The sequence below is a fragment of the Homo sapiens genome, chromosome 3, assembly GCF_000001405.40.
Source record: "Homo sapiens chromosome 3, GRCh38.p14 Primary Assembly".
NCBI classification, from domain to species: Eukaryota; Metazoa; Chordata; class Mammalia; order Primates; family Hominidae; genus Homo; species Homo sapiens.
In genome coordinates this window covers 194,720,071-194,747,348 of record NC_000003.12, presented here as the reverse complement: position 1 = coordinate 194,747,348, position 27,278 = coordinate 194,720,071, and the positions used below count along the sequence as shown (strand labels likewise).

At 45.7% G+C, this 27,278-nt stretch overlaps 2 long non-coding RNA genes across 4 annotated transcripts in view, besides 2 other annotated features; both read right to left on the bottom strand.

Moving 5' to 3' along the window:
- LOC105374292 (uncharacterized) overlaps positions 1 to 27,278 on the bottom strand; it is a 120,878-nt gene that overhangs the window by 79,102 nt on the left and 14,498 nt on the right. The window contains exons 3-4 of one of the 3 annotated variants that reach the window (XR_002959667.2): positions 20,501 to 20,622; positions 19,683 to 20,147 (exon numbers count right to left, since the gene is read on the bottom strand). The exons of 1 other annotated variant lie outside the window; for it this stretch is intronic. This is a non-coding gene — a long non-coding RNA (uncharacterized LOC105374292). Of the gene's footprint in view, positions 1 to 19,682; positions 20,148 to 20,500; positions 20,623 to 27,278 lie in introns of those variants that run through there. One more of the 3 variants, XR_002959668.2, reaches the window with a different exon arrangement.
- LINC01968 (long intergenic non-protein coding RNA 1968) overlaps positions 1 to 27,278 on the bottom strand; it is a 73,748-nt gene that overhangs the window by 34,820 nt on the left and 11,650 nt on the right. The window contains exons 2-3 of the long non-coding RNA NR_037891.1: positions 2,660 to 2,775; positions 1,718 to 1,814 (exon numbers count right to left, since the gene is read on the bottom strand). This is a non-coding gene — a long non-coding RNA (long intergenic non-protein coding RNA 1968). The remainder of the gene's footprint in view (positions 1 to 1,717; positions 1,815 to 2,659; positions 2,776 to 27,278) is intronic.
- Positions 9,867 to 10,046: an enhancer, noted in NCBI's record as "active region_21035". NCBI's record gives its function as "activates an Ori minimal core promoter by ATAC-STARR-seq in GM12878 lymphoblastoid cells {active_cell/tissue: GM12878}" and the evidence as "EXISTENCE:reporter gene assay evidence [ECO:0000049][PMID:35858748]".
- Positions 24,355 to 24,649: an enhancer, noted in NCBI's record as "tiled region #10974; HepG2 Activating DNase matched - State 8:EnhW". NCBI's record gives its function as "activates a minimal TATA promoter and a strong SV40 promoter by Sharpr-MPRA in HepG2 cells {active_cell/tissue: HepG2}" and the evidence as "EXISTENCE:reporter gene assay evidence [ECO:0000049][PMID:27701403]".

Genomic DNA, 27,278 nt, shown 5'->3' with positions numbered 1-27,278 from the left:
CAGCCTTCTGGTTCCCAGCCCATCACTGGCTGGGACACAGGCCGGCCCAGCCTCTGTCGATCATCCTAAATACGCCACAGCCACAAGGGTTCTGGCCAGGCCTGCAGACATCCCTGACTTAGCATGGTGCAGACCACACTGCCGGGCTCCGTTTGCCTGCCCTGGGCAGCCCTTCCAGCTCTGTTTCTGGTTACCGTGGCCCTAATTGTGAGCTTTCTGTCAGGATGTACTGGCAGAGAGCCTGCTACCAGAGTGGGTCACGCAAAACATTCCAGAAGAAAACCCAGACTCTCGGGGTTGCCGAGGGAAATGAAAAGTCATTTCGTTTTAACTCAAACTCTCTTCCCTCCCTCCCTGCCCCCAGATACCCACATGAGCACTGCTTCTCTCCCCTTATACACACTCAGATTCTCCAGTTGGTTGTTGGACCTGCAGGTGCATTTCTAGTTCATTAACACTTATCAGTTGTCTCTAATGTGGAGAGACTACATGGAGAGGTCATTGTAGGTGTCTTGGCAACAGCCCAGCTAAAGGCCCAGTTGACAGCCAGCATTAATCACTGGATATATAAGTAGAGATACTTCCATATAATATGCTATGGTAGAGTTGTGAGCAAAGTGTTATTGGAGCTCACGGAGAAGGTGATTAATTATTAGTGGTGGAGACATCAGGGAAGGCTTTATTGAGGAGGGGACAGGTGGATGGACCTTAAAAATGGGTAGGCTCTGGCTTGCCCATGGGTATAATGAGGAGTTAGTCTAGACAAGCTATGACATCACAATAGTCATGATGGACACCAGGGTCACCTGTAGTCAACCAGAGAAACCCACGTCCCTGCAAGCGGCATGGTGCCCAGCAGTCGCTGGATGTTGTTTGCTTGTTTTAGGGACCTTGAACAAGGCATGGAGGTTCTCTGGCCAGAGTTTCTTCATCTATCAGGGAAAGGGCAGGAGACAGGGAGGGTACCGAGGCCAGTGTAATAGGAAGAATTAGATGGTGCTTTGCTGGGTGTGGGAGATGCTGGCTTGGTCCACTCACCCACTGTAGGGACTTTAGCTAGCCACTTACTCTCACTGAGTCTCAGTTTCTTCATTTGTGGAGAGAGATGGCAAGCAGTCTCTGCACCACCTGCCCCATGTTTATCCATGAAAACCTTCTGAGAATTACCACGACTGGAGGAGCAAAGATGACTGCCATGACTGTCAGTGAGGCCGGCAGCTCAGGATGCCCTGTGCTGGATGCTATGGGTTCCTGGCATGGCTCAGAGTGTGCCTCTATCCTTAATGCCTCCCACTGAAGTGTGTGTTCCTTCCAGTTTCTCTTTCTGTTTAACAAATCACCCCATGAGACAACCATCTGGGAGCGGCATAAACCAGCCCTTATCTTGCCGATGCTGAGGGCTAGGCGTTTAAACAAGACTCAGCAGGGTGGTTTATTGCTGTTCCACCATACCTGGGGCCTCATGTGGGAAGACATAAAGACTGGGGGTGTGCTCAACTGCTGGGGGCTGGCAGTAGCTGGAGTTATCTTCACTTACATGTCTCGTGTTTAATTCTGGTCTTCAGCTTACTACTGCCAGATCACCTATACCTGGCCTCTGCATGTAATCTCTCAACGTGGGCCAATTTGGGCCTCTTCAGAGCGTGGTGACTGGGTTCCAAGAGAAAATGTCCCAAGAGAGAAAAAAAGGAAGTGCATAGAATTTGTATGACCTAACCTTGTAATTCACACAATGTCGCTTCCCCCATATTCTGTTGGTCAAGGCAGTAGCAAAGTTCCTCCTGTGTTCCAGAGAGAGGCAGAGAGACCACAGCCTGCAGTGGGAGGGGTAGCAGGATCACATTTTAAGAAGAGAATGTAGGATGAACATATTGTTGCAGCAATCTTTGAAAAACACAATCTACCACAATGTTCCTTGCCCTGGTATTCAAAGCCCTTCTCCACATGCTCCCAGCAGCATCTCTCGCTGCCTCTCGGCACAAACCCCACTCCAGGCAGGCCAGCCTCCTCACTGCACCCAAAGTGTGCCATCTTCACCCCAGCCTGAGAGGCTTGGTCCTGTCATGCTCATACCTCACTCTCTTCTTTCTTATTTCCAAGTCCTATCTCCCAAATAATTCAGGTTCCTGCTGTGTTAGTTAGCAGTTAAGACCAAAAGGGAAGTCTCTTAGCAAACATAGTTCCTAGGACCTTCTTTATTAGTGCAGTGTGAGACCTATTTCTTTCTTAGAAGTAGTAAAAGTTCTACTATTCTGAGATTCACTGGTTCTGAAAAATATCCACCAAGCATAGATTCCCTTCAACTGTAATCATTGCACGCATACTTACGAAATTCAGGTTCCTTCCTGAATTTCTCTTCCAGACAGAAATAATGACTATAATAAATTAAAGGCGGCTTGTTTTAAACCAACAATGGTGTGGCTGACAACGAAAGTGTAAATATGGCTATAGTTAATGGATTTTTTTGGCCTTACTTCATTTCAGCTTATTAGACCATGACTAATAAAGGGCTGGCATTGCTCACTAATTACTCCCCAATTAAATCAAGGGCCAGGTCCCTGCCTCTTATGCAGATCCCAGTCCCTAGGAGCTCTGGGGATCTAATAGTGCTCAGGAAACACTCAGTTGTTGCTTGGAAAAAAAAAAAACAAAAACAAACCTGAAATCCACAAGACAGCTGAATTGGGCTGTTCCTCTACATTCTACCTGTAGATGCGTGTTTCCACTGAGCACAACGGAAGCCACTAACAATGGCATCCATTCCTCACTCACAACCTGGGGAGGCACAAAGGGAAGGTGTTGTTATCCCCATTTTTCTGATGAGGAAGTTGAGGCTTAAAGAGATTAAGGGGTTTTCGCAAAAATCAATGGCCCCTGTGTTGATGGAGCAAGGAGGTGAGAACTTTTATGGCGTCTTTTCATTCCTCAGTCCAGATCCCTTTTTACTGTACTACCTCCAGTTTAGCTGGCTCATTCACTCATCCAAGTATTCAGTCATTGATGTAATTGACAAATGCTTGCTAAGCACATCCTTTGTACACAGCACAGCATAGGTGCTGGCGAAACAATGGTGAACAAGAAGAAGTGCCTGCTTTCACTGAGTGGTCCAAAGGGAAAGGTGGTAAGGGACACCTAAGCAATTATATGTATAAGATCATTTGACATATGACAAATGTTATCAAGACAATAGAACGGAGTCATATTCTGTTATGGGATACAGAGTGGCCAGGATAGCTAGAGCAGGGAGGCAGAAAGGCACCTCTTCAGCGAGGATCGTCAGGCAAGGCTTCCTGAGAATGGGATGCCAGAACTGGAACCTTAATGAAGACAGGGAGCCAGCCACATAAAGATCTGGGGAAGAGGAGTCCCAAGAAGAGGCAACAGCAAGTGCAAAGGCTCTGAGCCAGGAATAGGAATAGCCTGGTCATGTCAGGGGAAAAAAGGCCACTTAGGTGAGAAATCTTGAGCAATGGAGAGAACAGAGGGAAGTGGAAGGTAGAGGGCCTCAGAGGCCATCCTAGGGAGGGCGAAGGAAAGCCTGCGTCAGCCAAGGAGGACCTGCAAGAGTGGGCGGCCCTTCCCATCACCTGAAGGTGTCTCCAAGAATACGGTGGGCTTGGCTTGTCTGTTTCTGAGTTTGATTTCTTTCCAAGGCAATCCTAAAGGCAAAAGAATACCCTTGAGCCCTTAATAGCTTAAATATAGCAACTATATGCATCACTTCACAGTCTTTCACTTGCAGCCTCTGTCAATGGGTTTTACTTTAAGGTGCATTGTTTGTGTTAACATGAATTCTGTGTCATTATTCAAATAGTAAGCTCATTACAAAATCTTCAAGCCAGCTTTCTGTTTAAAATTCCATTTTATTTTTATAACACATTAATTTATATTCTAACTATAAAAAAATTAAAAATAGTTGGGACTTTCAGAAAAGCACTAAGAATAAAATGTAAATCTCCTGTAAAGAGTGGAATTGATCTAAAAGTGAAGGGCTGAAAGTTTGAGGGCATCTCTCATTCTCCTCTAAATGCAGTATGTCCTCTCAGCAGCTTCCCCAGCTGAAAGCGGGGCCATTTACTTTGCTTAAAGCATTTGCCCTTCTAAACTTTAGATTCCTTTTCTGCTAACTGGGGATTTATTTCAAAGGACTACAATGAGAATTAAATAAGGTAATGCAAGTAGGGCACCTAAAACAATGCCCAGCTCGGAGAAGATGCTCCAAAATATTAGCTCTGGGTCAGGCAGGGTGGCTCACACCTGTGATCCCAGCACTTTGGGAGGTCGAGGTGCGAGCATCAGTTGAGCTCAGGAGCTCAAGACCAGCCTGGGCAACATAGCAAGACCCCATCTCTAAAAGAAAAAAGTTGCTGGGCATAGTGGTGTGCACCTATAGTCCCAGCTGCTCAGGAGCCTGAGGTGGGAGGATTACTTGAGACCAGGAGTTCAAGGCTGCAGCAAGCTAGGATCATGCCACTGCACTCCAGCCTGAATGACAGAGCAAGAACTTGCCTCTAAATATATATATATATAAATATATATATATAAAATACATTATATATAAATATATATTTATATATTAAATATATTATATATAAATATATATTATACTCTATATATAGTAGCCCTGAGGCTTCATCCAGAGCAGAACATCCAGCGGGTATTCCATCAAGGAGTGTTTGCTTGCTTCTAAAGAAGAACATTCTAGCAATCAAAGCTGCCCATAACTTAAGGGTGTCCTGTCAAAGTGTCATATCAAATAATTTACCAGAAACTTTCAATAATAAAATTGAGAAACGCCTCCTTCAACTCTCTTAATCTCGTTTTCCCTGTAAAATCGGATTCTTTCTCTGGTCCCTGCCACTTAATTTCAGATATTGCTCAATTCATATTGAATTTATATTTTATGCTATATGCCAGGCATTGTGTTAGATGCTGTGGTCCAGCAGTGAACAGGATGGGCATGGGCCCCACCCTCGGGGAACTGCCAGCCCCAGAGCTGCAGGCATCTCCAATGCTGATGTCACTGTGGAAGTAGCTGCATTCCACATGGAGGAAACTGAGGAACCACGCTCATTCTTTTACTGACAGGGTTTTCCAAGGGATGGGACATGCATGGAAATAATTAATAGAGGTGACGTAGAGATTCCCAGGACCTCTGTTGGATCCAATCTGCAACCTGCCTTGGAGACGTCATCTGTGGGTCTTGGAGGTGGAGAGGAAATGCCTGGGATCCTAGGACTGCGTCACATTGATGCCCTTTCCCCTGCCTGCCCCCTCCAAGCCTTGGCCAGCCTGAAAGGAGCACATTGAGAAGTAAAACCGCATCCTCGGCTGCTTGAGTGCCTTTGCAAGACCTTCTTTTTTTATTATTATTATTTTTTTCTTCTGAGACAGAGTCTCCCTCTACCGCCCAGGCTGGAGTGCAGTGGCATGATCTTGGCTCACTGCAACCTCTGCCTCCCGGGTTCAAGCAATTCTCCTGCCTCAGCCTCCTGAGTAGCTGAGATTACAGGCACCCACCACCACACCCAGCTAATTTTTTGTATTTTTAGTTGAGACAGGGTTTCGCCATGTTGTCCAGGCTGGTCTCGAACTCCTGACCTCATGATCCACCCACCTCGGCCTCCCAAAGTGCTGGGATTACAGGCTTGAGCCACCACACCCGGCCTCTTTATGCACTCAGATGGACAGACGTGCTGTGCAGACAGTGGCGCTGCTGGGCTCTTTTAGAGAGGGACTGTCTCCCTAAATTGAAAACAAATTCTCCAGAAGTACAGGAAGCATACACAGGAACCAACCCAGTTAAATGAAGAATAACAGTTTACTGTGGCTCCTCAGTGAGAAGCTTCGGAGGGGATCCAGCAGCAGGCTAAGTCGTGGCAAGGTTGGATGAGTAAAAGAGAGAACGAAGACAGTCTCATAACCACAGCCTGTCCCTATGCCACCTCCATGTCTTGCCCTTCCGGACTAGTCACATTCTCACACACTCTGGCACACACACACTCATGCTCATGCTCACACTCACACTTACATGCACACACACACTTTTCCAGTTCAATGCCATTCCCCCGGATTGCTGCGGGTATGTGCCACCCCTCCCCCGCCCTTTCCCTGCATCAAACCAAAGACCACGTTTACTCACAGCCCAACCTTCGGGAAAACAGACCTCCTGGGCTGCTTCCTAAACTTCCTCTTATGCATCAAAAACACATTGTCCTTTCAAAGCTAGGACCGAGATAGGACCGAGACCTAATATTTCTCCCATGAGTCACTACATTACGCGTTACCAAGAATGCAGACCGCCTGTAAGAAGCCGTGCAGGTCCCTTAAGTACCTGAAGTCACAGCCACTTAACTCCAGCTGGACACATCCAAGCTGGGCTCACCAGTGTCTCATTGACTGGTGATCATGCGTCAGCCCTGTCAGGCCACCAGCCTGCCTAAAAGTCAACTCTCAACATGGCGTTCCTTTGCCAAGGAACCACTTGTGGGCAACATGGATGTCCACCCCTGGGCGTGGACAGGATGTAGTGGGTGTACTTCAGTGGTACTACACAGCCCTTAGAAGTCATTGCCTGTACGCACACTTGGTAGTATGAATGAATCTTAAAATCCTAGTGCCAAATAAAAAAGCCAGCAGCAGAATAACATATACGAAATCCCAAATCATTTACATACATTAAAGCAAAATGCATCCTAAGAACTAGGCAGCAATATCACTTATATAAGAACATGCACAAACACAAAGAAGGATGGCAAATGTATTAGAAGCAAGCCATCCCGCTATGGATGGGGAAATGAGAATACATAAGCAAATCAAGAGAGGGAATGTGTAGGGACCAATGATGGTAATATGTCATGAACTGCAGGATCTGATTAACTTAATCCTCTAATTTTCTTCACCAGAAGTCAAAAAAAGCAGAGGGACGTGGGGAGGACACATACATCTCTGACCTTGTTTACTGGTTTGTTTGTTTTTTTGGAGACCGAGTCTCACTCTGTCGCCAGGCTGGAGTGCAGCGGCATGATCTGGGCTCACTGCAACCTCCGACTCCCTGGTTCAAGCTATTCTCCTGCCTCAGCCTCCCAAGTAGCTGGCATTACAGGCACGTGCCACCACGCCCAGCTAATTTTTTTTTTTGTATTTTTAGTGGAGACAGGGTTTCATCATGTTGGCCAGGATGGTCTCTATCTCCTGACCTCGTGATCCACCCACCTCTGCCTCCCAAAGTGCTGGGATTATAGACATGAGCCACCGTGCCTGGCTGGTTTATTTGTTTATAGAGACAGGGCTTGTCCTGTCATCCAGGATGGAGTGCTGTGGTGTAATCATAGTTCACTGTAACCTTGAATGCCTGGGCTCATGGGCTCAAGCCATCCTTCTGCCTCAGCCTCCCGAGTAACTGAGACTATAGGTGTATGCCACGGCACCAGGCTAATTTTTAAAAAAATTTTTTTAGAGATGGGGTCTTGCTTTGTTGCACAGGCTGGTCTCAAACTCCATCTTTAAGTGATTCTCTTGCCTCAGCCTCCCAAAGTGCTGGGATTGCAGGTGTGAGCCACGGTGCTCTGCCTGGCCTAGGTTTACATTTCCAACCTCAGCTCCCACTTCCTTGAGCCTCAAGCCAAACAGGATGACCTGTGACTCACACAACACTCCCGATTCTTCGCCTTTGATTATGCTGCCCTTCTATGGCCAAGTCTGCCCCACACTTCCAGGGCCAGCTCCGGTGCTGCCCCCTCCACAGGCTTCCTCCTGTCTTCCTGAACCACCTGCTACTTTCTCTGCCCCACACTGCAGGCACTGGTCAGCATGTTTCGCAGCATGTCCTTATTTGTAGGCAGAAGTGACCCCAGTGGAGCCTCTAGGGTGGGGCTGCTCTGTTCAGGGAGGCTGTACACAGGGGCTTTTTGTGTCTTTGGCCATCTGCGCTCCAGATCGCAAGGTATGTCTTCTAAGCACACCCTTCAAAGCACTTCCTCTGAAAGGAGCACTTTCTCTACACAGAGATGCAGTACTTTCCCAGGAGAGCCCATCCCGAAGAAGAGGCCCACAGACAGATGCTTGGTGAATGGACAACTAGCAAGAGGACATCCACAAGCCCTTCTATAGTTAAGCCCTAGGCTCTCTTCCCATGCCCAAGACATCTCTCTGGCATCCCCTTTCCTCCCTTCCTGCAAGACCCAAGACTCAGCCGGGCTGCCTCTTCCCTTGCAAACTACTTCCACCCTGAGCCTCCTCTAAAATGGAACCTGACTGTGGAAGCCATTCTCTTGTTATTTGGACAACCACTCCCCACAGTCCCCCTCAACAATAGGTACTTAATCGGAAGCCACCTAGAGTCCTACAAACATAAAGATCTGGGAATTGGAAACCTTAGGAAGTGGTGAAAGCTCCGTTCCCTGTCTTCAGTGTGTAGATAGTCAGTAACAAACATTTCTGAGCACCTGTTATATGCTAGGCACTGATTTTGACCCTGGAGACATGATGGCGAGTAAAGGAACGTGAGCCCTCCCCTCATGGGGCTGGCTGATAATCTACTTCCCAGGGTGCAACTCTCACCCACTCTCCAAAGACAAGAATGTGAATTTTGCCAAATTCAATTTTCATTCCCCTGGGGCCTGTGCAGTGCTGGCAACAGAGGGGAGCCACTGGCTGGAGACCAGCTGCCTCCCAGGGCCCTGCCAGGGCTGGCACAGAGGGCTGGTGTTTCTATTCCCAGGGCCTGGCTCCCAACCAGGATGGCATCTGCTCAGCATTTGGAGCCCAGCATACTCTAATTGTCCTGTGGCCTCGTGGCACTTTCAGCCTATCAACTGAGTTTTTCTTAAAAAGCAACTCCTGTGTTTATTGGTTTTCTGGCCCAGATTTAGGTCACTAGAATTTTCCTTAAGGATGGAAAAACTCAGAGAACCAGATCTGGATGACTCTCTCATGCCGGGATGTGAGTGGGAGGGACTGGTGACATACTAAGAGAAGCTGGCTTAATGCCCACACCTACCACTCACTGCCTCACTACTTTTCTGAATGGCACTGGTCCTTCCTGAGCCCTTGGACAAGAAGCTAGGGGCCCTCACCCCAGTGAGGTGGCATTGCTTTGCTGTGTGGGCATAACTGAATCCCTTCCCTCTCTGAGCTGACATCCTCTCAAGTGATTCCTAAACAGATGAAATCATGGATACAAAGGGACTTGTTAAGCTCTGTAAAAACATAAGGTCCTGTTGGGACTTTGTGTACTTCCCTCTCAATTTTGCTGTCAACCTATAGCTGCTTCTAAAAAGATAAAGTCTATTAAAATAACAAATTTTTAAAAAGTAAGGCCCTACGGCAAACCCTGGGAAAAGGGGCTCTAGGTTCTTATAAAAGCTTCACTTATTTCTATGCAGCCTTGCAAAGTATGGGAATTTCTCTGAGCCTCAGTTTCCCTGTTCTACTAATAAAATAATGGGTTTGTAAATACTGGGTTAATTGTAGAGTACTGCTCCTTTGTGAAGTCTTGTTATTATCTGCTACCTACTAAAAGAGACTGTTCTGAAGGTCAGCCAGCAAGTTCCAAGTTGGTGGAAATTTTGAAGCTCTTAAAGAACACTGGAAAGCCCTAGAGAAGGTATAAGTAAATGTTTCACAGGCACCTTAAATTCAGCATGTTCAAAACTGAGCAGCAGGAGGAGGAAGACAAGAAGGAGGAGAAAACAGAGGAGGAAGAGAAGAAGAAGACAGGAGGAGGAGAAGACAGAGCAGGAGGAGAAGGAAAGTGAGCAGAAAAAGCAGAACCAGAAGCAAAGGCCACAGAAGAGAGGAAGATGAAGGAAGAGGAAGAGGAGGAAGAAAAAAAGAAGGAAGGCGTAGCAACAGCAGCAGCCGCTGAGGCAGAGGCAGAAAAGAAGAAGTGGGCATGGAAGCAGCAGAAGCAGCAGGAAAGGCAGAAGGAGAAGTGGCAGAAACATGCAAAGCAGAAGTAGATGCTCAGAAAGCAGAAGCTGCACACACAGACACACACAGATGCAGAGGAAGAGCGAGAAACTGAGAAAGGAAGAGGAAGAGAAGTAGATGTTGTAACCCTGGAAGGAGAAACAAGAACAGCAAGAGAAGAAGCAGAAGGAGCAAAAATAGAAGCAGGAGCTGAAGAAGAAGAGCGGGGGGAGAAAAGGAAGGGGAGAAAGAAGAGGAGGGAAGAGAAAGGCAGGGTGGGGAGGGAAGAGGGAGACATAGTCACAGTGGAGGAAGGAGAAGCTGCGGCAGAAGGAGAAGCAGCAAAAGCAAAAGTCAGAGCAGAGAAATGGAAACAAGCCAAAGTAGCAGCAGCAGAACGAAGAGAAGCAGCAGAAAAGGCAGGAGGAGGAGGAGGAAAAGCGCAAGAGGAGGAGGAAAAGGAAGAAAAAGCAGAAGGAGAAGTAGATGAATATGTTGCAGAAGAAGCACCAGCAGGAAAAGCAGAGGCAGAAGCAGCAAGCACAGGAGGAAAGAGAAGCAGAAGAGAGAAGCAACAGCTAAGAAGAAGCACCAGCAGAGACAGCAGTAGAAGAAGCATGGGAAGCAGAAGAAGGGGGAAGAGAGGGCGGAAGAGTGGGGAAGAGAGGGCGGAAGAGCAAGACTGGGTTGGGGAAGTCGTAGTAGAGGGAGGATGAGAAGCAGAAACAGAAAAAGCAGCTGAGAAAAAAGCAGAAGCAGAAAAGGCAGAAGCCAAAGCACAAGGCAGAAGAAAGCAGAAGCTGAAGCCAACGCAAAGCAGCAGACACAAGAGGAGAGAGAGCAGAACAGCAGACCTGACCACTGCAGCAGAACAGCAGACCCGACCACTGCAGCAGAACACAGAACAGCAGACCTGACCACTGCAGCAGGACACAGAACAGCAGATCCGACCACTGCAGCAGAACAGCAGACCCAACCACTGCAGCAGGACAGCAGACCCAACCACTGCAGCAGGACAGCAGACCAAACCACTGCAGCAGAACACAGAACAGCAGACCTGACCACTGCAGCAGGACAGCAGACCTGACCACTGCAGCAGGACAGCAGACCAAACCACTGCAGCAGAACAACAGACCTGACCACTGCAGCAGAAGCTGGAGAAAAAGGACAGAATCAGCAGAAGCCAAAGCAAAGGAAGCCAAAGCAGAAGGAGCATCCCGAGGCAGAGGCTGTGTGCCCACTGAGGGGTAAGGAAGAGAAGGCAGTGTGCCCACTGAAGGTTAAGGAAGAGAGGGCAGTGTGCCCACTGAGGGGTAAGGAAGAGAGGACACAGGCCTGGCCACTTGATTGGACCATTGGCTCTCCGAACCCTAGTGTCCTTCAGGAGACAAAGAGGCAGGTGAACCAGTGAGACGTTCTTGCAATTCTAATCATTTGTGCCAAAAATGAGGATAGGCTGAAGCGGAAATGTTCCCAAGACAAAAACAAGGATAAAGGAATAAACTTTGATCAAGCACCTTCCATGGGCCAAGCACAAAAGAGACTCAGCCCCTGCTTTCCATGAGCTCATAGTCTAGACAGGGTGATGCCAATGGTCAGAAGAGGGGTAGGAATTGCAAAGGCCCATAATTTGGGAAATGAGGAGACATTAGAGAGGCTTTAGAAAGAGGTAGGAAAAGACAAAAACATTAATAATAACTATAGCTACAATAATTTGTTAATGGATACACAATATGAAAATATGTAAATTGTGACATCAAAAACATAAAGTGGGAGGAGGATTAAAAGTAGTGTTTTAGTACGTCATAAAAGTTAAGTTGTTACCAGCTGAAAATAGACTGTTATAACCATAAGATGTTTTAGGTAAGCCTCATGGTAACTGCAAAGCAAAAACCTACACTAAATACACAAAACAGAAAGAGAAAGAAATCAATGCCACTACAGAAAACATCAAATCCCAAAGGAAGACAGCAACAGAAGAAGAAAGGAACAAAGGATCTACAAATTAGAAAACAATTACCAAAATAGCAATAATAATTCTTAAAAATCAATAATCACTTTAAATGTAAATGGATTAAATTTTCCAATCAAAAGACAGAGGGGCCCATTGGATTAAAAACAAGGCCCAGCTATATGTATATAGCTGGATTTGATGATTTCTATAGTGTTATGGTTGTAACACTATAGAAAAGAAAAGCAGCTTTTGTAAGGCCATAGCTCTCATAGACAATGACACATCTGGTGGATCTGGGCAAAGTAAATTGAAAACCCTCTGGAAAGGGTTCACCATTCTAGATGCCATTAAGAACATTAGTGATTCACGGGAGGAGGCTGAAATACTAACATTAACAACCAATTTTGAAGAAGTTGGTTCCAACCTTCATGGATGACTTTGAAGGCATCAAGACTTGGGTGGAGGAAGTCCTGCAGATGAGGTACAAATAAATAACAAGATAACTAGACTTATTATAGAAGTGACGCTCGGAGTTGCTTCTTTTTTTTTTGAGACAGAGTCTCTCTCTGTCGCCCAGGCTGTAGTGCAGTGGCGCGATCTTGGCTCACTGCAACCTCCGCCTCCCAGGTTCACGCCCCATTCTCCTGCCTCAGCCTCCTGAGTAGCTGGGACTACAGGTGCCTGTCACCACGCCTGGCTAATTTTTTGTATTTTTAGTAGGAGAGAGGGTTTCACCGTATTAGTCAGAATGGTCTCGATCTCCTGACCTCGTGATCTGCCTGCCTCGGCCTCCCAAAGTGCTGGGATTACAGATGTGAGCCACTGCACCCAGCCCAGGGAGTTGCTTCTTATGGATGAGCAAATAAATGGTGTCTTTTTTCTTTTTTTCCTTTTTTTTGGGTTTTTTTTTTTTTTCCTCTCTTTTTGAGACAGAGTCTTGCTCTGTCTCCAGGCTGGAGTGCAGTGGCGTGATCTCGGCTCACTGCAATCTCCGCTTCCTGGGTTCAAGCAATTCCCCTGCCTCAGCCACCTGAGTAGCTGGGACACTACAGGCATGCACCACCACACCTGGTTAATTTTTTGTATTTTAGTAGAGACAGGGTTTCACCATGTTGGCCAGGATGGTCCCAGTCTCCTGACTTCATGATCTGCCCACCGCGGCCTCCCAAAGTGTTGGGATTACAGGCGTGAGCCACTGTACCCAGCCAAGAAATAGTTTCTTGAGATACAACCTACTCCTGCTAAGGATGCTTTGTTGAAATGACAACAAACAATTTAGAATATTATACAAACTTAGCTGATAAAGCAGTGATAGTGTCTGAAAGGATTGACTCAATTTTGAAAGAAGTCATAATGTGGATAAAATGCTACCAATAGCATCACATGCTATAGAGAAATCTTTCATAAAAGGAAGAGTCAATATCGATGTTGCAAACTTCAACGTTATCTTATTTTAAGAAATTGCCACAGCCATCTCAACTTCAGCAACCATCACCTTGATCAGTCAGCAGCCATCAACATCAAGGCAAGAACCCCCACCAGCAAAAAGATTATAACTTGCTGATGGCTCAGATGATCACTATCATTTTTTTAGCAATAAAGGATTTTAAAATAAATAATGTACATTTTTAAAAGATGTATTGCTATTGCACACATAATAAACTACAGGATAGTGTAAACATAACTTTTTATATGCACTGGAAAACCAAAAAATTCATGACTTGCTTTATTGTGATATTTGTTTTATTACAGTGGTCAGAACCGAACCCAAATATCCCCAAGGTATGCCAGGATGTCAGTTAGGTCCGTCTGGTCTATAGTGCTGTTCAAGTCCAATGTTTCCTTATTGATTTCATGTCTGGAAGATCTATCCATTGTTGAAAGTGTGATATTGAAGTACCCTACAATTATTGTATTGCTGTCTATTTCTCCCTTCAGATCTGTTAATATCTACTTTTTATATTGGAGTGCTCTGATGTTGGGTGTATATATATTTGCAATTGTTACAGCTTCTTGATGAATTGAAGCCTTTATCATTCTATAATAACCTTTGTTTCTTGTGACAGTTTTTGACATAAAGTCTATCTTATCTGGTAATGATACAGCTACTGCTGCTCTCTTTTGGTTTCTATTTGCATGGAATATCTTTTTTATCCCGTCTCTTTCAGCGGTGGCTCATGCCTGTAATCCCAGCACTTTGGGAGGCTGAGGCAGGCAAATCACGAGGTCAGGAGTTTGAGACCAGCCTGGCCAACATGGTACAACGCCGTCTCTATGAAAAATACAAAAATTAGCCAGGCGTGGTGGCACACACCTGTAATCCTAGCTACTCAGGAGGCTGAGGCAGGAGAACTGCTTGAACCCGGGTGGGGGAGGTTGCAGTGAGCCGAGATCACGCCACTGCACTCCAGCCTGGGTGACAGTGTGAGACTCTGTCTCAAATAAATACATAAATAAATAGCAGATGTCCTCCTGTGGTCCAGCTGGGGCTTCCTCTCCAGCTTCCTCTTCTGCCCAGCCCCTGTGCTCCAGCCACACATGGCTTTCTTCTGGGTTCTTAAACATACCAAACACCTCCCAGGTTTGGAGACTTTGCACAAGTATTCCCTCTGTCTGGAACATTCTCCCTGAGTCTTTCCCCATTCCCCATTCATACCAGTTCTATGACTTTAAGCAAGTCCCTTTTCCTCTGGGGACTCGGAATCCTTAGCCAGACACTGACGAGGCTGGGCTCTTTGGTCTCCCAGTTCGAACAGTCTGTGGTTTTTCTGTTGTTGAGTGTATTCATTTAAGGCTCCTCCTCTCCCAAACAGACCTTGGAAATAGCAGTGAAATGGCAGAACGGGAGATGAGAATAAATACCCCTAAAGAAACAAATTGTCTTGCTCCCTTTGTTGTTGCAACATTTGTACTGGAAAGTGACTTTCAAAGCTACAGGCCAAGGGAATACTTTGTCATTTGCAATTTAATTCTTGGTTCCATTACTTAAACCGGCGACTGAAATTTTCCATTCCCTCTCGAAATCACCAGAAAATGGGCATAACCCACCTCAGGTGTTCCAAGGACATGATGGATAGTCTATAGGTTAACAAGTTACTATCAGCAGTCTCTTAAAATAAATTATTTGCAACTGTTAATTGTGTTAAAGAATAAATAAGGACATGTTGGACACATTAACTTTGGGGATCTTTTTATCCTAGGATATATTCTTCCCCATTTAACTTTCATTCCTTCTAATTTCCAAACTTAGGTCTCTAGAATTAAACTGTCTAGCCTTCTTTTGCGCAGAATACCAAGTAATAATTATCCCACTTTGTTTCCACAGTAGCAGCCCATGTCTCATATTTGCATACTTTTATTTTTAAACACTTAAATGCAAAAGAGAGAAAACAGAGTAATGCAAGACAATCAGATGGGAATCGGATTGCAGTCGCTCTCTGAACAAGACATTTTCTCTCAACAATTCAGAGGCTCTTGACATTTGCACTTCCCCATACAACATGTTCCATGTGCCACAGGAACAGTCTCCTTGTTGGGAATTGATTGTATGTATGTTCACTCTTGCAGAAATTAACCTCCAAGAAGCCTGGCAGACTGCCAGGGACCCCAGGCTCTGGAGATGAGGGTCAGGGTCAGGGGCTTCTTTAGGGACTCAATCCAAGAGCCTGACATTCACAGCAAGGTGAATTCACAGCAAGATCTTTCCTGCTTGAAAGATCTCTTTGCTGCGAGCACCCCATGAGAGGTCATGGGAGTGCAGAGCAAGGTGCAGAGATGACAAACTCTTCTAATGAAGTCACCCCGCCAGCACTGCAAGGGCATTCATGCACATCAAATAGGCTTGAGAATAAAAGTATAGCTCTCCTGGAGCTATAGATTGGGAGTCCTTTGGGGGCAAAACTTAAACCTAGCACCTGCCATGTAATAATCTGTGCTTCAGAGGATCACCTCCCAATCTAGATGATCCTCGGGCATTTTAAGATAAGTTCCATCTAATTGAGCTCATAAAAACTCTTTTAGCTGAATTAATCTGATCCAGGTAACTTGTACATAAAGCCTGAAGACACACAAAAAATTAAAACATGCCTAAAGTGGTATTGTCTTTAATCCCTGTTGGGCAGGTTAAAGAAATTTGGACTTTGGGTGTTTGCCTCTTGGAAGTCCCCTCTCACTAGAGAGAGAGCTGTTTTCCTTTCTCCTTTCTCTTTCCTTTGCCTATTAAACCTCTGCTCCTAAACTCCTCATGTGTGTCCGTGTCCTAAATGTTCCTGGTGCAAGACAACAAACCCCAGGTGTTTACCCCAGACAACAGCTGCTTCATATCGGGGACCTCGTCCGGGATACCAAGGTACAACATTCATCGAAACGCAACATCTAATGGAGGCAAACCAGTGTTAGAACCCATCAGAATGGCTGACAGCAATCAAACTCCAAACGCTGCTTCAGACAGAACCATGCATGGACACACCTTTCTTCCGAGGATCCTTAAATCAACCCCAGGAGGAGCCCTAGCTGCTGTTCCCCACACAATGCCCCTTTTCAGCAAGAAGTAGCCAGAAAGAGTGTTTATCCAACACCCCCTAACAACAGTTAGGGTTACCACTCCAGAGGGCGGAATGATACAGGAGTTAAGAAGAAATTACTTAGGCAGATAGTGAGGGTATGGAAGTCCTTGGCAAGATTTTCCTTTTGATGAAAAGCAGCCCCAAATTATTTTTCTTTCTAACACAGAGCAGCCTATAAAATCGAGCTGCAGACACAGATGCTGTCAGTTGTGCCAATCATGTTCAAGATGGCGGCTCCCTCTTCCCTTCTCTGCCAGTCACGTGTACAGTAAGGAGCAGACAAGTTGGCACCGGCCAAGGGGAAAGTTCATTTGCATAATGGGATTAGGGCGGGGTGGCCAGGCTTGCCCGCACAGTTTGTAAACATCATACCTGATTGAACCAATCTGTGGGCCCTATGTAAATCAGACAACACCTCCTCAAGCCTGACTATAAAATCCGGCACATCCACCAGCAGCCGGTCTTTCCTCTCGGAAGTCCCCTCTCGCTCACTAGAGAGCTGTTTTCCTTTCTCATTCTTTTTCTTTTGCCTCTTAAACCTCCACTCAAAAAAAAAAAAAAAAAAAGACAGAAATGTGAACTTTATCATGAAAGTGGCAGCCATTTAGATTTTAATCAGAGGAATGACTGAATTCCTACCACATACTAGGGGAAACTGAAAATAGTTTCTCCTCCAAAAAGGTTGCAAATCTCTGTTGCAAAATTTCTACAGGATCGCTGTGGGTAGGGGTGACAATAAATCTACAATATTGCAATGCCTCCACCTACTCTCCTCTCCACACACACCAAACACTCACCCGTCTTCATCCCTCACGTCTGACAGTAGCCACATAGCTTTTACATGGATGGGCACTCAGATGCCGATAAGTTAAGTCACTACCCCAAGTCATGTAGTTAATTACTGCCCAAACCAGGACTGTACTATCAGGGTGCCCCAGCTGGGGTAACCTCATTACCAAGCTGATTGATGTGTATGTCCCTTGTGATAAAGTGATATGTTCCAAGTGAAAAGCAGCACAAAACAATTTTAAAAAACAAAAACAAAAACACCAAACCCTCAAGTGTTTGTTCCCAGGCTTACTCTCGTTAAACATGACTTTGGAAAATGGTTTGTTTGCTTTTTTTTTTATTTTCATACCTCTACCATTTCATTTCAGATGTTGGCAAGAATTAGAGGGAATTTTTAAAGCCGAGAAGTTCTTGGCTGTGTGCAATGGACCACCTTGAAACAAAAAACCCACTATAGTCTCAATCCCTCTCCCTCTACTTCCCCTTACTCCTCTCCCCTTTTCCCTCACCCCACCCCCACCCCATACAGGAGACCAGAGACCATTCACATAGCAGAGAGAGTTTGGAAGGGAAAAGAGGTAAGTCAGCCGACTTTTAGGTGCCTTTCACATTTCCCTCTCAATAAATCTAAGTAAAGCAGCTGTCCTTGTAGGCTCATAGCCCACAGAGTCACCTGCTAATGCGCCAGTCTCCCAGTCTCGCAGACGCTCTTTAGTTAATGCAAAGTGCAGAGGCTGGAATTAACAGATACTTTTTATTCCCACAGAGATGGATCACTTGGTGATACACTGACTTTCCATCTGTAAAGTAGAGGAGAGCAACACTTAACACCTTAGTGGAAGGAAGGTATCAATTAGTAAACAAGCATTTTTGGTGCACCTACCAAGTGCTTAGCCCTGTGCACCACGACAACCAATGAGAATAAAGAGAGCAAGGCTGCTGTGCAGGCGCTTGGTCAAGCCACAGCCCATTCACTTACTGTGTGCCCTTGGGCAAGCTGTTCCACCACTGTAGGTATTGTTTTCTCATCTGTAAAAGGAAGAGGATAATACTACCTACCTTAAAGCATTGTTGGGGGAATGGATTGAGAGAATTCATTTAAGAGTGATTTGGGAACTGAGAGAATTCATTTAAGAGCAATTTGGGGCTGGGTGCGGTTGCCCACATCCGTAATCCCAGCGCTTTGGGAGGCCGAAGTGGGCGTCTCACCTGAGTTCAGGACCAGCTCAGCAAGTATGGCAAAGCCCCGTCTCTACTAGAAATACAAAAATTAGCCGGGCATGATGGCACGCATCTACAATCCCAGCTACTCAGGAGGCTGAGCAGGATGAGCAGGAGAATCACTTGAACTCAGGAGGCAGAGGTTGCAGTGAGCCGGGATGGCAGCTACTGTTGGGAAGCCAAGGCAGGCAGACTGCTTGAGCCCAGGAGTTCAAGACCAGCCTGGGCAACGTGGTGAAAAACCCCATCTCTATACACACACACACACACACACACACACACACACACACACACTATCCGGGCCTGGTGGCACATGCCTGTAGTCCCAATTACTTGGGAGGGTAAGGTGGGAGGATCACTTGGGCCTGGAAGGCTGAGCTTGCAGTAAGCTGAGATTGCAAGATCCTGCCATTGCACTTCAACCAGGGTGATAGAGCAAGACCCTGTCTCATAAAAAGAAAAAAAAAAAGAGTGATTCATCAGTATATGACACAACATAAGTATTATCGAATTAAGTATATAATATAGAATTAAGTATATATTGTCAGGAATTATAAGTAATACCTGACACATGTCAATGGTTGTCATTTATCTTTTTCTCAGTTTTTATTTTAACTCTCATCAAGGATATGGGACAGGGACAGGGAGGTAAGGTAGCTCTCTATAAAGATTCTGTGAATAATGAAGTTCATGTGGTAGCTCCTCAGATATGGGTGCAATTAGTTTCTGAACACAGCCTCACTGTCCTAAAGGTTTCTGGGAGAGTTTTTGGGGGCAAGTGTTCACAATTTCCATAGGTTTTAGAATAGAAACTGCTATCAGTGCAGTGGCTGTGAGTCCGCTTTCTAAATCAGTCCTTACAGAGAAACGTGCAGGTATATTAAGGGCTTGCCGTGTTGAATTGCCTGCTTTTTGTCTCATGGAAAGCCGGGAGTCTCTATTCTTTAGAGGAACCCCCCAGGGCCTGAGGGGGAAGAAGCATTCTTCTGGTGCCGAAGCAGCCAGGATCTGATAAAAAGGAGTTCACTCCTCCATCCCCCAAGTAGTCACAAGCAGAGTTCAGATCCAGCTCTGCCACTTCCTAAGGAAACTGGAAAACCTGAACAAGCTAATCATCCCCTCTGAGCTCTTTTTCCCGTCTGAAAAATGGGCTTGATATGACCTGTCTTGAAGGGTTGTTGTAAGAACCAGCGATCATATGTAATGTAAATATATGACACATGTAAACATATGACACAATATGCCTGGCACACTGCACACATTTAATAAACAATGACATTTGGTATCCAGATTGGAATGGTGTGTGATCATTCCTACAGCAGAAAGGAGAGCTTCTTCATGTGAGTACTAGGAGGTGTTTGACCAACGTCCGTCTTGATCTATACGGGCCTGGAAATGAGGAAACTCCAGCTCTGCCTCTGACTTGTGTGACTTTTCCCCGGTCACTTTTCCAGCCTGAGTCTCAGGATCTCATCTGCAAATGATGTGGCTGGACAAATGGCTCAGAGGCCATAAAGCTCAGAGGCTGTAACATGTATGGTTCTGGTGCCTAGAATTCTGTTCCTGGGCTTCCTGAGTCACAGTAATGTGGTCAAAAATATGTGTAGCACTTGAATCCATGACCCAGCAATTTCACGTTCGGGTCCTCACCCAGCAGGAAAGTGTCCACGAGCTCAACAGCGTGTGCAGCAGCATTCATTGCAGTGCTATTTGTAAAAAATGAAAGCCAGAAACCACTGAAATGTGAGGCAACATGAGAGTGCATACACAGATTGTGCTGTATTTACACAACAGAATTCCACACGGCACTGGGATGAACAAGCAATGCTGTACACTACCTAGTGGATGAATCACAGAAACGTAAGTGTGAAGGAAACAACATAGACATAAAAGAGCACAGCCTGGGCTGGGCACGGTGGCTCACGCCTGTAATCCCAGCACTTTGGGAGGCCGAGGAGGGCGGATCACAAGGTCAGGAGATCGAGACCATCCTGGCTAACACAGTGAAACCCCGTCTCTACTAAAAATACAAAAATTAGCCGGGCATGGTGGTGCTCACCTGTAGTCCCCGCTACTTGGGAGGCTGAGGCAGGAGAATCACTTGAACCCAGGAGGCAGAGGTTGCAGTGAGCCGAGATCGCCCCACTGCACTCCAGCCTGGACAACAGAGCGAGACTCCATCTAAAAAAGAAAAAAAAAAGTACAGCCTGTTTGATTCCATTTATGTAAAGTTCAAAACCAGACAAAACTAATCCATGACATTAGAGGTCAAGACAGGAGGTCTCATCGGGGTAGTTTCTGAAGGAGACAAGGGTGCTGGTAAGGTGCTGTTTATTGTTATGGGAATAGGCCACACACGTTTCCTTTGAAAACATAGAGATATACACTTAAAATTATGTGGTTATACATATATAAATATGTTATAATTTGATTTAAAGGTTTACGTAAAAAGTATACGTAGAACCACTTGTGGTTTCCTGGGTACCTGATTTTTATTTCCTTCCCTGTGCCAGACACTGTCCTGGGGGAGGGGTTGGCTGTGAATACAGACAAATAAGAAGGCAAAACATCTGCCCTCAAGGAGATCACCTGGACGGAAGGCTAATGAGTAAATAAAAATGACAAGTGATAAGGTGCTATGATAAAGTGCAGATCTGAGCAGATTATGGTGGGAACCCAGAGGAACAGAGGAGGTGACATTAGGTCTTAAAGATTGGGCAGGACAAAGAGAGCAAGAGTGCTCCACACAACCACGTGTGTAAATGCAGACTTGGGACGGGGCAGCAGGGGTTAAGAAAGGGCAAGAGTTGAGGGCAGGGAGATAGAACCTGGAGCTGAGGTCCGTAAACTCTGTCACGCAGGGCACCATGGGGAGCCGCTGAGGGGTCTTTGGGCAGCTGTGACCTTCCAAAAGAACCCCCATCACATCAACCTACTTACTTTTATCTCCCAGTCTTTTATAGAGAATCTGCCCTCTCCCAGCAAAGGCCAGCTCCTCCACCCCTCTGCTCAATCCCATCTCTCTAGCCATGCTCCCTTCTCTCCTGGACCTCTCCACTGCGTATAAACACGGGCAATTATTTCTCCTGTCCCCCACTCACCAAAAAAGCTTTCAACCTCATTTCCCCCTCCAGCTACCACTTCACTTCTCTCTCTTTATGGCAAAACTCCTAAAAACGTTATGAATTCTGGCACCTTCCAATTTCCATTCTCCCATTCTCTACTACACTCACTTCAACTGCGTTTTCACCCCGGAACACCATCAAAACAATGGCCTCTGCTTTGCAAAGGTCATTCTTTGCCTCTGGCTAACTGCATTTTGTCAGTTCTCCAGTGTCCACCTTGCTAGACCTATCAGCAGCCCTTGACCTGGTTAATGACATCGTCCTCCTCTAAGCGCTTATTTTTTTGGCTTTAGGTTACCAGGGCTCTCTGCTAGCTTTCCCCCAACCTTTCCTCCTGTTCTTTCCCAGTCTTTGCTGGTCCCTCCTCCTCTCTGGATCTCTTTATCTTGAAGTTACCCAAAGCTCAGTCTTTGGACATCTTCTCTATCTACCCCTGTTATCTCAGGGATCTCATTCTGTTTCATGCTTTTAAATTCCATCTATAAGCTGTTGACTCCCAAATGTATATATCTGACACATACACCCCCCCTGATTTTCAGATACGTACGTCCAACTGCTCGCCTGACATTTCCACTTGGATCTCTAAAGGCATCTCAGACTTCACGTGTTCAAAACGGAACTCATCGGCCGGGCATGGTGGCGCACGCCTGTAATCCCAGCGCTTTGGAAGGCCGAGGCGGGTAGATCACCTGAGGTCAGGAGTTTGAGACTAGCCTGGCCAACATGGTGAAACCCCATCTCTACTAAAAGTACAAAAAACCAGCCAGGTGTGGTGGTGCATGCCTGTAATCCCGGCTACTCGGGAGGCTGAGGCAGGAGAATCGCTTGAACCTGGGAGGTAGAGGTCTCAGTGAACCGAGATCACGCCACTGCACTCCAGCCTAGGTGACAGAGCAAGACTGCGTCTCAAAAAATAAACAAGCAAACAAAAAACTGAACTCATGAGCTGTCCCTAAAACTCATTCCTCCCAGTCTTTGTCATCTCAGGAACTGTAACTTCATCCTTCCAGTTCCTCAGGCCAAAGTGGTCACCCTTGACTCCTCTCATCTATTTCATTCAAACCGTCAACAAATCCTGTGACCTTTACCTTCAAGTTGTCAAAAATCTGACCACCTCTCCACCTCCAGGACCACCACCTCATCCAAATCACTATCAACTCTCACCTGGATTCCTGCAGTAGCCCTTCTAGTGGTCTGTTTGCTTCCACTTTTACCCCCTACTCCCAACGCAGCAGCCAGAGTGACCTCATTATGAGATGAGCCAGAGCAGGCTACTCTGTTCTCAGAACCTTCCAATCTATTTCCCATCTCACTCAGGTGTGACACTGGCTTCCAAGGCCCTCTGTGACCTGGCTCTCCTCACGTCTCTCACCTTGGCTTCCCATCTCCCCTTCTCCAAACATACCAACCTCCTGGCTCATCCTTAAGTGGAGACCATACGTGCTGTGACCTCGGGGCCTTTGCACTCTTCCTCCTTAAATCAGCAAGGCTCACTCTCTGAACTCCTTAAAGACTTTAATCAAATGTCCCTTCTCAGCGAGGCCCTCCTTCACCACCCTATTTAAAATCACAGCCACTCCCCCGACAGAACTCCCTAACCCGCTTTCTTGCTTTATGTTTCTCCAAAGCACCTCTCACCCTTCTGACATGCTTTCTGTTTTACTGCCTTATCTTGTTTACTGTCTGTCCTCCCTCCCTCCACAACAAGTTAAGTTCCATGTGGGCAGGAATCCTGACTGTCTGGGCCACTGCTACACCCTCAGGATCTAGAACAGAGTCTGGTGCATACAAAGGAATGGGAGAGGCACAATCAAACCCATCATTTGGAAAGGTCATCTTGTGACTAAGGAGTGGATACATCACTGGGAAAGATTGGTAGCAGCTAGAAGGCTGTTTCAATGCTATAGATGATATGCAATGAGATTTGAACTAGAAAGTGGGAGTGGGGATTAAGAGAAGAGAGTCAAGAAATATTCAGGAAGCCTTTTTTTTTTTTTTTTTTTTTTGAGAGGAAGTCTTGCTCTGTTGCCCAGGCTGGAGTGTGGTGGGGCAATCTCGGCTCACTGCAACCTCCACCTCCCGGGTTCAAGAGATTCTCCTGCCTCAGCCTCCTGAGTAGCTGGGATTACAGGCACCCACCACCAGCTAATTTTTGTATTTTTAGTAGAGACGGGGTTTCACCATGTCGGCCTGGCTAGTCTCGAACTCCTGACCTCAGGTAATCCACCCACCTCGGCCTCCCAAAGTGCCGGAATTACAGGCATGAGCCACCATGCCCGGCCGCAAATTTAAGTTATGAGTAACAGATTAAAGTGAGGGAGAGGGAAGCATCTAGCATTACTTCTGAATCTCTGGCTTAGAGGACAAAGGGAATGATAGAGCCACCATTAACTGGAATTAGGAAGAGAGAAGAGAAGAAGGATTAGCCCATGAGTGGGGATAAATGTGGGCTAATTCAATGCCTCTATCACCCAAATCACATGCACATGTGCACGCACATGCACACACACACACACACACACCCACATGCAAACACACACCCACACACGTCCATATAACGCACATTAAAATAAATGACCGGTCCCAAAATCTATGTCCCACCTGCCTAAGGCTCCAAACCAGCAGAGCCATTCCACAGACATCTGAATCCAAAATTCCCTCATTCAGTACTTGCTTATGCAAATTAGAGCTTCTTTTCAAAGTAACTGCCACACCCTCCAGATGGCCAGATTCCCTATTACTTCTTCATTAAAGTAACAGCCTATTCAAACTTGGCTCACTCAGCGTCCTTTTGCCAGGCCTTTGCATTCTGCATGAACAAAGGTTTATGATATTTCCTTCCAACCGTCTTTGAATTACTCACTAGCCTATTCAGCTTAGCAAACATTTGCTTCTGTTTGATATGGACTTTGGGCCACTAGACTGTACAGGGTTCAGCTTTGTTCATGACACACAATGAAATTTTCAATCACTCAGTCTCGTGATGCCTTGGGACTCCCAAATATCTAAGTCAGGGATTTGTGACCTTTGGTACTTATGGTTTTTAATGGGTGATGATAATGAATGCATATAATTGTGTTTATTCCTACAGGCTTTTCACAAAGTTATTGTAATTTATTTGGGGGCGATGGCTATTGGTCATGAATTAAATTAGATTTCTTAGTATGAAGGCAAGGTGGCCATATGTGGTCTTGATGGTGGTGGCATGCAAAAGGACCCATGTCACGGGGTGAGTGGGAAATGAAAACCAACCCAGGTCTGCTTGCCAAGCTGTGTTCCATGGGGCTATAACCTAGAGGAGATCTGTTTTTCAAATTCCCACAAAGGTGTGGTATGGGCTGCTGCTGACCGTGCCTCATGCTGCTGAGTGCTGGGATATAAGAGGGGGTGGAACAGGAGTGTCATGCGCAGCTTTCTAAAGGGCCAGTGATCACAAGCCTGGACATGGATAATGGACATTGACCATTATTCTTTGAAACAGCTTGGCTTCTTGTGCCATGTTCTTAAATACCTCACAAACAGAAAAATTCTGCATGATGAATGAATAAAAATAGAATAAGTGGCCATAGAGAGTGATTGTACTAAATTCTTCACCTTCTTTGGGAACCTTTCAACTGGGGCTTTTAGCCAAGGGTCACCTGGCTTTGCACCACACACTGAATTTCGTGGTGCACATAGTTGCTTAGAAAATAAATGGCACTTCCTTTGACTAGGACAAGGCCAACTGGCCAACCAAGAGCTCTTGTCTTCCAAAAAAAGGATCTAAGAAGATCATCATAACTGCCTGGCATTCTTGCTTCCATTCTCTCCTCCATGTGCTCTGAGACATTGCTGATCAATCTTAGTACTCTCTCCCTCTACACGTGGATTTGGCCTCAGGACTATTTTCAACCCAGTAGCCCAAGCGGTCGCTACCATCAGCTTTGGCAAACACATTTAACTCTAATTGACCTCCCTTGTCTGGTCCTTACCAAGTTTTTGGAGTCAAACATACCTACTCAGAAACAAAAAAGATATGCTAGCAGTGATACTATATCACAAAGATTAAGCTCGAAACACAGCCACCTACTTCAGTGTGGTAGACGTTTCCACTCCACACTCATCCCTTCCTTAAACTGTGTCCACATAGCACCTAATAGTTCATACAAGAATAGGCAATTCCCACTTTCTTACCAACTGATATTCCTGAAAACCACATAATAAGTGGCTTGCTTTTTCTTTTTTTTTTCTTTTTTTTTTTTTTTTTGAGACGTCTCCCTCTATTGCCCAGGCTGGAGTTCAGTGGCACAATCTCAGCTCACTGCAACCTCTGCCTCCTGGGTTCAAGGGATTCTCCTGCCTCAGCCTCCCAAGTAGCTGGGACTACAGGCGCGCACCACCACGCCTCACTAGTTTTTTTTTGTTTGTTTTTGTTTTTTGTTTTGCTTTGTTTTCTTTTTTTGTATTTTTAGTAGAGACGAGGTTTCACCATATTGGCCAGGGTAGTCTCAAACTCCTGACCTCGTGATCTGCCCACCTCATCCTCCCAAAGTGCTGGGATTACGTGTTGTATTTTCTTATAATAACAATAGGATAATTGGATGTTTTGTTTCTGATTAAGAAGTTGGGAGCAAATAAATCACAAAGGTGATCAGCAGTATGTCACACCAGCAAACTTACACACTGACAGCCCCTTAGGATTAATTAAAGCATGAAACATTAAAGTCCCTTCAATTGGCCTAATCCATATATACAGTGGCCTAAACTATATATGTGGATTAGTCAGGGTAGTGCTCACATGCCATATAAGAGTGCCCAACTCTTCTGAACCACCAGTTTAGCCCATCTAAAATGAATCCAGGAACTTCAGCAAATGGTCATTAACTATTTAATTTAAAAGAATTCGATGCGCCTTCTTAAGAATGAAGAAAGCTTTGGGGGATAATTTAGATGATCCAGGCTTCTTTGGAGAAGAAAAGAGGTTGCCAAGAAATATCTGAACTATGGCTTTCTCTTTGACTTAAAGAGACAAACATTGGCCAATGTTCCTTGAAGACTGCTCTGTGCCAGGCATTGTGCCGAGGGCTCCAACAAAGAAAACCATCCAAACTCGCTCCACGGACCTCAGAGCTGCATTTGGTGGGACCATGCTTTCCAAAACAGCTGCTGCATTGTTTAAATATTGGAGAAGCTCACTACAGAGTTTAACTGCATCTTGAATGTCACATTTGTTTATGTTTTTCTCTCTCTTTGATATATATTTTAATGTCTTTGCTAATTTTCCTTAATTTACTTTAGTCATTGGAAATATTCCTTCCAAGGGCCTGGAATCTAGAGGTGCTTCTGTCAGTGCTTCTCAGCCCCGATTGTACATTAGAATCACCTGGGGGTGCTTTAAAGCTCCTGATGCCAGGTGGCACTCCACACTAGTTAAATCGGTGCCTTGCGGGTGGGACCCAGACACTGGTAATTTTTAAAGCTCCCCAGGTACTTCCAATGTGCCAGGTTGAACACCATTGCCAGACTCTCTTCCTTAAGTAGAGGCAGGCAGGCGCCCCTCCTGGCTGCTCAGTAAACACTTGTCATGCCAGAAGCAAACCTCTCAGTGCTATTCTATTGAGTCAGCTCAGATCTCTAGGAAGAGCAGCCGTTTTTCCCAACTAAAAGTGATTCTAGTTCCCAGATCAGCTAATATGGAAATCAGGTAACAAAAGAAAAGCCTTCGTGGATGTT